Source organism: Homo sapiens, chromosome 9 (assembly GCF_000001405.40).
Source record: "Homo sapiens chromosome 9, GRCh38.p14 Primary Assembly".
NCBI lineage: Eukaryota > Metazoa > Chordata > Mammalia > Primates > Hominidae > Homo > Homo sapiens.
The window spans coordinates 82,073,120-82,084,760 of NC_000009.12; the positions used below are offsets into that span (position 1 = coordinate 82,073,120).

The 11,641-nt window shown below is 36.3% G+C and overlaps 1 long non-coding RNA gene across 1 annotated transcript in view; it reads left to right on the forward strand.

Annotated features, from left to right (window-relative positions):
- LOC105376107 (uncharacterized) overlaps positions 1-11,641 on the forward strand; it is a 378,142-nt gene that overhangs the window by 95,875 nt on the left and 270,626 nt on the right. The window lies entirely within an intron of this gene.

Genomic DNA, 11,641 nt, shown 5'->3' on the forward strand with positions numbered 1-11,641 from the left:
AGAGGATAAAAATAACTACCTATTGGGTACTATACTTATTACCTGGGTGACAAAATAATTTGTATACCAAACCCCTGAGACACACAGTTTACCTGTGTAACAAACCTGCATATATACTTCCGAACCTAAGATAAAAGTGAAAAAATAATAGAAGAGAGAAAGTTGGTTGTGAGCAAAAGGATGGGATGAAATGAAGATGACTGGATTTAGCTATTAAAGTAGTAACAGATCACCTTTTGTGAACCAGGTTCCATAGACTGGTGATAGTAGAACTCCATTTGTATGGGTTGACCCAAGATCCCACAATGGTTTCATAAAGATTATATTTTCAGGAAGTACATTCTGGAAGAATAAGCTCTAGGACTAACACCCTGTAGAGTTATTGAAAACACATTGACTTTCAAAGGATGTCATGCATCATCAAATGAGCAGAACGATAAGTTAATCCTGTAGGGTAGGAGTTCTATTTGTGAGTTTAAGAGTGGAGAAGATATTTTAATATTGTACTTCTTTGTTCAGGTATCTCCTCAGATTGTGTGGGAAAGTTCTTAATAAGGAAGTTAAATAGAGAGGGATAATAACTTTTCTTAATATACAATGCACATTTGATGCCATCAAGATTGGCAAATTTCCCAGATCAAAAGCAGTTATTAGCTCACTGTTTCTTTAGCCAATATATTTTTATTCAAATTATCTACTGTGCACTGACATGAAAGAGAAACATCTATTTCTAATAAAATATGGCCTGATATTATCTAATGTGTTAAATCTAAGGGTCATCTCAAGAATACAAAGTTTAATATAACTCCTTAAGGACTGTACTAAATAAATATCATTCTTTTGCAGTAACCTCATGACCATATTTATTTACTTTTAATTGCTGTAATAAATGACTTCTGTTCAGATAGTTTCAGAAAGATCCTCCCAGAGTTTATTCATTGGTGCAAATGCTGATGTGCAAACAGCAAGAGGCTGAATGCATGCATAATCAATAATGCATCTAGAAGCTCTCCACAGAGTTTAGTCAGAGTATCTGTTAGATCTTGTCTCTCAATATCTCATCTCTCTGGCCAATTATTCATACATTTTGGGGAATCTTGACTGCAGTAAGCCTCCTTCCTTTGGACAATGAGGGGAAAGAAATTATCCCCAGAAGGATGAAAAATATTTTTCTGCAGTGGCTCCATATATATAAGAACCTATGACTCCATGGTTATGCATAATCAGCACATATTTCAGAGTCCTTCATTTATTCAACATTCATTCAAAAACACTTATTAAGTACGTTCTAGATGCCAGGCACTATTGGGAATAGAGTGGGCAAGTTCCCTGTTACCTGTATAGCATTTAGCAGAACACAGAAAAATAAACAAGTAAATCAATATATAAAGATACTTTACAGCTAGTCTAGATAGGCCTTAAAATAATAAAATGGAGTGTTATAATGCAGGGAGTGGGGTTGACTGTGCTTATTACATTAGACAGCTAAGGAAGACCTCTTAAAGGAAGTGACTTTGAGCTGAAGATTTGGGAAAAGAGATATCTGAGGCTTAGGCAATCACAATTTAAAGACCTTCAAGTAGGGTTTAGTATGTTGAAGAAAGAGAAAGGAAGCCTGCCTGACCAGAGTGTAGAGATCACAGGTAACAGTGGTATGCGGGAAGACTGTGTAAGGTCTTGTAGACAGTGATTGAGAGTTGGATTTTATTCTAACTGAATTTGGAAGTCACTGCAGTGTTTTGAGTCAGGGAATGACATGATTTGCTTTTTCTTCCTCCTGCCATTGTTCCCCTTGCTTTTTCTCGGGTGCTTTCTCATTCAGCTTTTTCACAGGTTTTCTGAGTCAATATTTCGGATAATATGTTCTCCAGATAGTTCCTGTCTGTTCAAGTAGCTTCATTCTATGAACTGGTAGTAGTTGTATTGCTACTCTTTTTTAATAATTGCATAATTACCTCCACATTTATGGTTTAATATCACATGAAATGTGGTACTATAAAATCATATGAAATGAGATTGATTTGGTTCCATTATATCGGAGTTTGCATACTGACAGCCTATGGGTCACAGACCGTAGACATATTTTACTTGGTCCATTCAGAATTTTACAAATAGAGAAATTTGTCATAAACACTGAGAGTAACATGATGATCTTTTTTTGTATGTTTCTAAAGGATCATATTTGGAAAATAATATTAGAGAAAGAGCTTACAAGAAGAGACATAAGGCAAAGCAAAAAGGTAAAGAGGCAGGGGAGGCAGGTTTTACAAAGTTAAAGATGAAAGCCTGGAGATCAGCACTCATTGTATATGACATGCATTCTTTGAGACACTGTCTCTTTACAGCCATTTACAGCTAAAGGGATCTAAGAGGCAATATATATAATGAACCCATTGAACTCATATTGCTGGGTTCAAATCCTAGTTCTAATGCTTATTAGATATCTGACTAGGGGACCCATTACTTTATCTTTCTATGCTTCAATTATTTTATTCTCTGCAAAGTTGGGATAATATAGTAAGTACTTTTTTCACAGGGTGGTTATGAGGATTAAGCGATTAATACATATGAAGCACTGGGAAAAATGTCAGTCACTTAGTAACATCCAATAAGCTATTATTGTTATTCTCATTTTACAGATGATTCAAAAAACACAATTCTCAAACAACTAATTGACATGGCTGAAGTTACCCAACAAGTTAATGAAAGAGTCAGATGCTGAAATTAGGTCTTTTAGAAAGCTCTGCTGGAAATAAGCGTTTTAAGAGTAATTTGAATAATTTGGCTTGGGAACGAAAAATTGCCAATTTTACCTTTGTTTAGCCCAAGTTTTATACCAATCATTCTAAAAAATATATCAAGACTTTTTACCAGTCTTAAAAATTATTAAGGACCAAAAAGAGGTCGTGTTTATGTAGTTTGTATCTATTGATATTAATAATATTAGAAATTAAAGCTAACAAACTTAAAAATTACTTATGAATACATTAAAAACCTATTAAATGCTTTCATAAATAGCATATTTTTAATGAAAATAATTATTTTCTAAGACAAAAATATTTAGTGAGAAAAGTGGCATTATTTATATTTCTGCAAATCTCTAATGTCTGTCAGAAAGACAGCTGGAGTCTCACATCTACCACTGCATTCAATCTGCTGCAATATCACTCTGGAAAACTCAAATGTACATGTATCTTCTTACTCATAGGAAAGTAGTTTTGACTTGACATACCTTCTGATAGTCTCACAGATCCCCAGAGGTTCCCAGACCATACTTTGAGAATCATTGATCTAGATAAAATCAGAAATTTGAGATGGGAGAGATACAAATCTTGCCCAAGTCTCCAAATCTACTTTGGAAGTGGAAACTCAGTGGCCAAGAAAAACCTTTCCAGGGAGAAAACATTTGTTGCCTTTGCACAAGATAACTCCAGTTAAAATCATCACAATAGATGTCTACAGCCACCTCAAAATATTCATTGCTTTGACTAAATATGAAATATTCCCCCTCCAAACCCTTTCTCCAGATTTGTGTGTCTGAAAGAGCTGAGGTGAAATAGAGATGGTGCACAATAGCTCAGAAGTAAATTAATGAGTAAAAGAGTATACTCTGAATTCACAAGAAAATGAGAAAAATTCCATGTACTCACCTTCTTGTCCCTCTAAGCTCCTTGGAATTCCTGAGTATTATATTAGTTTTCTTTGTGGTGGGAGTTGGAGAATTATAATGTCCTCTTCTTGCAGTTGATGGGCATAGATGAGGCATTTGAAAGATAACTTCTACTTGATAATAGACCCAATGACCTGTGAAGATTTCAATTCTCTTCTTCTTATCCATCAGATCTTTATAGTTCTGAAGACCTGCTATTAGACGGACTGCATTTAGAGAAGGAAAATTATTTTCTTATCTAAAAAAACTTTAGATAAGCCATTTTTGTAATGAGGTTCATTCTGATGAGGCCTGAGTATTTGTGGCCTCCTCAACAGACTAAATCTTTTATTTCTTCAGGCAAATCTTGAAGTTCCACATTCTGTCTTAATGCCGTCTGTAATTTATCCATATCCATTTATTCATTCAAAATTTGTTGGCTAGCTATTATGCCAGACATGGTATTAGATACTGCTGACTAAATATGAATGTCCAAATTTATATATTTGAAGAGTTTGGAAGAAGGTATAAATTATTTAAATATATGTGAACTATATGTGAAAAACACTGTGCTAGAGACATGGATACAGTTCTTTGGAAGACAAGCAGGGGAAGACTAATTGTAGTTGAATGATTTGTAAAAAGTTTCTCACTGGAGCTCGGTCCTGTAAGAGGCATTGTGATTCAGGGGATTCTTGATGAGAGAAGGGCATTCTTGAAGGGAACAGAGTGAGTAGAAGTTTGGAGTTGTGAAGAAGCCTGAGATGTGCAGGGAATGATGAGAAGCTGGAATGTACGGTGCACATGAATGGAGGCTAGAACAAGGTTGGAAAGGAAGGCTGTGGTTAAACTGGGGACAGGCTCTAGGGATTGAAAAGGGGGATTTGTACTTTATCCTGTAGGCCACAGGGAACCATCAGTGGGCTGTTTTCTGTTGCCATGTATGTTTTAGAAAGATCTTTCTGCTTGTGGATAGGCAGGAAGAGGAATGAGCAGTGCTCCATGTGAAGTAAGATGGTTCACTTTCACTAAGGCAATGGCAATGGGAAGAGAAGGGAGGCAGTGGGGACAGAGTTGAGAGGTATGTAGAAGCTTGCATCAACCAGACCTCATTCTAGATATGGAGAATGAGAATTCATCCTTAAGGACAACTTATAGGAGACTGAACTGGTGAATTAAAATAGTTACTAATTCAGGTGTAGAAAACTGGAGCAATGACAGGAGTTTGTGGAAATGCTGATACTGATTTTAAACATTCTGAATTTGACCCATCTATGGTTTATCTTGGTGACACTTAGAAATATGAATCTCAAGAGAGGTTGAGAAGAAGTTATGTGTTTTCTTTCTAGAAACATCTGTAACCAGCTTAATGTATACTACATATGAACTTGATGACAAACCCTTTGCTGTTGTTTGTACGGATGTCTTATGTCTTCAGCAAGAAATAAAAATTTCAAAGGGTTCCAAATATTTGTCCTTGGTAGTAAGCTTTTAAAAGGCAGAAACACTGGGTTCTACTTCTTTTTTTTTCTCACAGATCCTAATACAGGGGTAGGCACAAATTGGGAAATAAACACTTAAAGGTATTCTTTAAAGTAAGAAGATAGAATCAGAGAATGAAGGCAATAAAGAATAGTTTAGGCCAGGTGGGGTCCTCATACTTGTAATCCCAGCACTTTGGGAGGCTGAGGGGAAGATAGATCCCTTGAGTCCGGGAGTCCTAGACCAGCCTGGGCAACGTGGCGAAATCCTATCTCTACAAAAAAAAAAAAAAAGAAAAAGAAAATGCAAAAATTAGCCAGGAGTGGTGGCACATGCCTATAGTTCCAGCTGTTTGGGAGGCTGAGGTTGGAAGATCCTTTGAGCCCAGGAGGTGGTGGTTGCATGAGCTGAGATCACACCACTGCACTCCAGCCTGGGCAACAGAGCAAGACCCTGTCTCAAAAAAAAAAAAAAAAAAAGAATAGTTTAGAAAACTGAGCAATTAAAGTAATTCAGAGGACTTAAAAAAGAAAAAAAATCCCTCATAAAGATTCTTAGTAAGAAGTGGGGAGAAAAATAGAATCTAGAGATACAAAGAAAGATGAAGAATATGGGCAATTATGGCTTTAAAAAATATTTAATGCTAACAGTAATTGAAAGAAAGATTATTACCAGAAGGGATTTTTTTAGAAGGGAATTTTATTTATTTATTTTTTATATATATATTTTTATTATACTTTAAGTTCTAGGGTACATGTGCACAACATGCAGGTTTGTTACATATGTATACATGTGCCATGTTGGTGTGCTGCACCCATTAACTCGTCATTTACATTAGGTATTTCTCCTAATGCTATCCCTCCCCCCATCCCCCCACCCCACAACAGGCCCCGGTGTGTGATGTTCCCCTTCCTTTGTCCAAGTGTTCTCATTGTTCAATTCCCACCTATGAGTGAGAACACGCAGTGTTTGTTTTTTTGTTCTTGCGATAGTTTGCTCCCAAGCGCTACAAAGGACGTGAACTCATCCTTTTTTATGGCTGCATAGTATTCCATGGTGTGTATGTGCCACATTTTCTTAATCCAGTCTATCATTATTGGACATTAGGGTTGGTTCCAAGTCTTTGCTATTGTGAAGAGTGCCACAATAAACATACGTGTGCATATGTCTTTATAGAAGCATGATTTATAATCCTTTGGGTATGTACCCAGTAATGGGATTGCTGGGTCAAATGGTATTTCTAGTTCTAGATCGCTGAGGAATCGCCACACTGTCTTCCACAATGGTTGAATGAGTTTACAGTCCCACCAACAGTGTAAAAATGTTCCTATTTCTCCACATCGTATCCAGCACCTGTTGTTTCCTGACTTTTTAATGATCGCCATTCTAACTGGTGTGAGATGGTATCTCATTGTGGTTTTGATTTGCTTTCTCTGATGGCCAGTGATGATGAGCATTAGAAGGGAATTTTAAAAATATAAAATACTCATAAGGGTACATACTCTTAGAAAATTTAAACAAAAAAGTCATTGAGAGTTAATAATAAGGTAGTTGAATTTGAGAATTTCAGTAAAAAATCCTGGATCTCTGAATATAAAGACACTGAATAAACAAAAAGTGCCATTTATTATTAATATAATTAAAAGGGACTTAAACACTTTAAAAATAATGTTTTGGGAGTTTTTGCGCCCCATACAGAGAGGTTACTGAGTATTGATTGACTGAAGGTAAATTCCTACTGTCCAGAGACAAGAGATAAACTCAGTGGAATGGACTAGGTTTTTTTGCTACAGGAACAATGGTGACTTTGTCAAGCAAATTTTTCACTTTGTTTTATTTTCAGTCTATATCTTGTTTTCTATCTCATTTTCCTATATCACTACATATCTATGATTATTATGTAAAAATCACTTTTCTTACTTTGTAACAGATACTGGTTTGCTTTAGAAAGTGTTAAAAATCTAACTTCTGATCAGCTTTAAAGAACATAGTCTCTGGGTGGTCCATGTCTGATCCATACCATTACTTTAACTTTGTTTTGTTACTATTAATATTCAAACAAAAATAGCTTAAGAGGACCTGCCAGATGAATGAGATTGTGTCATATTCCTCTTCAATAATAAAAATCTTGCTAAGGCTGGCACCTGGGGAAAGGCTAGTGAGATTAAAATCAGTGACTCTTTCACCTCCCTTTGCTCTGTCAAGCATAAGAGAAAGAGGAACTGTGAAGCCTTGACAAGGAGAGCAGGGACTTTAATTGAGGGCAAGAAGGGCTCAGGCCTTGTTTCCTAATTATAGATGTTTTTTCAAACATCAGAGGTGCAAATTCAAAATATGTTGCAATTTATTGGTGAGTACAGTCTACTTAAATAAAGGACTGTTTAATTCAAATAAATTTAGAAGGCTTTTTCTTAAGCCAGCTTCATGTATATTATATTATTGTATCCCTGGAGAATGTAAAATTCTGAATGTGGACCTGCACCTTGCTATTTTTTCCCCCACTTGGATCTTCTTTGGTGTGTATGTGACTGTGTTTATATGTGTCTCCTATGTGTCCATCTTATTTTTGGGTGTAGAGGAGAGGTTCCTGATGACTCGCACTCTTTACTTCTCGATACAATCACATACATTACTTTTATAGCTTCCATCCTGCCATTTCAATGAATGGGAAATATGATCACAGGGTAATATGAGTTAATAAGTAATTTTAGGAGGATATTGCTTAAAAATGGTTTTTCAGTTATGTTCCAATTGGTTCCTTGTGTTGATAAAATGAGAGCTTCCTTAACAGTAGAATTCACATCATAAAGTTGAGTTGAAGTTTGAGGATTCTTGCTACCATTTAACATTTAATGGCACTCAATTTTCTGGACTCATATTTTTGACATAGTGTTCTATGTTTCATCTGTCACCGATGAGTCCTACTTGGACCTGTAAGCCAAATGAATGCCACCTATTAAGTGTTGTAGTGTGCTCTTCGATTGTTCATTTATTTAGTAGGTTATTATTAATTTAATGACTATGGTCCTAGTTCCTTTCACATATGGTGCCATCAGTGGAGGAGGGGTTCAAATGTTTCTATGGTATTTATATTTTTTGTTATGTGAATGCCACATAAGCAGCTCTGCAGCCAGAATTTCTTGGTGGCCCAAATATAAAGCCTTATAATTAGAAGTATATGGTGCTATAATAAAAACATTATCAAACCAGCTGTACTAGGTGTACAGATTTTCTGTTTTTATTCATGTGTGTGCATCTATTACAAACACAGCACAAATAGAATATAAAAATAAGTTAACACTCACAGCCAAACCTGTTAAATTTAGTTCAACAAATTGTATGAAACCCTCCATCTGTTTGCTACATTATTCTCACAATGATAATAGGCAAGGCAGATTTGCTAGCTGGGTTTTATAGAGAGAATGGCTTGTTCAAAAAATATGTAATGCACTCCCCTAAATGAAACCACACCAAACCGCATTATTTTCTTCTCTGTGGCTTCGAGTGTTTATGTTGTGATATTACATTTTCACAGATGTTATTACTGATCTGTTGTGCCAAAGAATGATTTTGAAGCTCATTTATCAATAATTATTGCTCTGGCCAGTATGAATGTTCCAAAAGAGCAAGCAAATGTGAGGAACAGATCTTTTGATTTCTTTAGTAATAGGTCATGAATAGCTGTTTCTTGCCTTTAGTACCTTTTTCTATGATTTGCTCTTGGCATTGCAAATACATTTATATTTTCAAAAATACAGGAGGGCCACAAAGGTCTTTACCATGTAATAATTTATAAATTGAATAATATTCACATTGTAGGGTTATTGAGGATTGCATGAGATAAAGAAGTGTCTAGCACCAATGCTGATTTCTTAGCTGATGAAGCTGACTTGACTTACTTAGCTGTCAGCACCTACATCCTGTTAGTAATAATTGTGAATTACTGCAGACATCTCTCAGAATTCCCATGACATGTCTTTCTAGAAAGCCAGAATTTTTCTGAATATAGTTTTATGAACAACTATCTTAGTTCTCAGGTACTAATTCTCTTACTGTCTGAGAACTAAGATAGTTCTCAGATACTCATGATAATTTTTATTTTTTCAATTAAAATGAAAAATTATTTAGCTCCTACTATGTGTGAAGAATTTGTGTACTAGATATATAGGGAGCAAAGATAAATGCATCACAGTCTACACAGGTTCAAACAGTAATTTGAAACACTAGTCACACTTTTATTCCATTAAACACTGATTTTTCCTTCCAGTTTTTGGATTTTTCTTGGCTACATGCCTGGAAAAACCTTAAAACCTATCAAGAAGACATATACCATTCATGCCACACATATAATATCATTCATTATTTTAATAACTCTTTTATTTATTATTATTTTTACATATAAACAGCTCTGGAGGCATCCTATAGAGAGAGAAACTATGGCACAGATCAGGTTTCACTGCCACTGTGTTTGTTAGTAAACCAAGTATCCCTAGGTCCTCTGGGTATCAGGGCCCACAGGCCCCTTTTGTATCTGAATAGTAATAGTAGATCTCCCCACTGCCACATTCAGCATAACCACAGGAAGACCTGTCTTCAGGTTTTCATCCCTCTTGTATCTGGAAATCCCCAAGGAACACATTCTGTTTTCCAAATCTAATTTTGGGGGATGGATTTGGGAGTCTTGTGGCAGCTTCTCCAGGCTGCTTCCACACTCCCTTGCAACTTTGCTCCAAATGTGAAAACAAGCCCCTCATCTGACCCTCTGCAGCATACTTATGGTTAAACGCAAACATTTTGCAAACTCTACTAAAGAGCTGCAGGTGATTCAGGAAATTACAACACAGAAAAAAATTTTAAATATGAATTTGCCTATTATAACTCCTAGAGTTCAGAGGCCATATTCTTTTACAGGATGATGTCTACTGGTTTTCCTTCTTCTCTGTTCCAACCCAGTGGCAGTGTTTACCTCCACAACAGGAGTGAGAACCTTTGACCAGGTTTTCTTTATTCAGAGACCTGACACCCCAACTTTCTCTTGGGCTAACTGTGAAGAAAAAAGAATAACAAAACACTTTCTCTTTACCTCCAGGCTGTGGTCCATGTTGCAGTAAACCTATAACCTCCTTTTCAGATGAAACTCTACCTCTATTTAAGAAGGCCTTTTATGTTATTAGATAGAAGAGTTTAGCATCTGGTTTTCTCAGCTCACGCATTCCTGAAAAGCAGGATTTATAAATTCAGATATCTTTGTAATCTGGTAAATATAAATGGGTGATGGGCTGGGCACGGAGGCTCATGCCTGTAATCCCAGCACTTTGGGAGGCCAAGGTGGGCGGATCACGAGGTCAGGAGATCGAGAACATCCTGGCTAACACAGTGAAACCCCATCTCTCCTAAAAATACAAAAAAAAAAATTAGCCAGGCATGGTGGCAGGCGACTGTAGTCCCAGATACTCAGGAGGCTGAGGTGGGAGAATGGCATGAACCCGGGAGGCGGAGCTTATAGTGAGCCGAGATTGTGGCACTGCACTCCAGCCTGGGCGACAGAGCAAGATTCCATCTCCAAAAAAAAATATATATATATATATATATGGGTGATGTGGGCTTGGTATAAGAAAATGTATGCTGTCTTCAATCTTTTTTTGAAATAAATGGTTGGACTTCTTGGGTGTACTTTTTAACACAACCTTTGATAGGAAAAAGTTTAGGAAATATTTAGCTTAAGTGGGATGACATTTATCTGACATATATAATAAATAGGGAAAGATGGGGACCATGGTAAGTGGATAACAGATGCTTCACCTACAGAGAACCTAGGACTCAGATTTAGCTGTTGACACCACATGAGAGCATGAGTGGGGCATTCCCAACTCTTCCTACTATTTGGAGAGACAACAGGAATTCCCATTTCTATGAGGTGACTGTTTTTTAATTCCAAAATTTAAAAAACACTATGAGGGTTGATATTGTATGTTTCAAGTGAAACATGTTGGTAGGCCACATCTGACCTTGAGAGTGCAATTTCTCAGCCTCTGTTGAAAAGGATTTGGGCTTCACTTTTGCAAAGCCAAAAGGCTAGAAGTTCAATGGAAATGTTTTTGTTTTTGATTTTGTTTTGGCCAAATCTATAAATAGTGTTTTTATTGTTTTGTGGAATAACAGGATCAACAAGTTATGACATTATTATAGTATTTTGTCCCTGCTACATAGACAAGATGAAGATTTTGGGAAGAACAGTAGTTTACCTGAAAATATTTGATTTAGTTACAGGAATTAGTTTGGATAGAAGAAAGGACATGAAAGGTTTGGAATCAGGCAGACCTAGGCTTAAACCCACCTCTGACATTCAAATGTAAGTTGGTGTAACAGACAAACTCTGTGACTCACCTTCTGATTTGTAAAATGGGAATAATAAAGCTTACCTTACAAATAAGAGTAAGGCCAGATAATTCATACAACTGGCTGGTCCATAGTAAGCGTTAAAAAATACCAGTTTCTTCTTTTCTACCT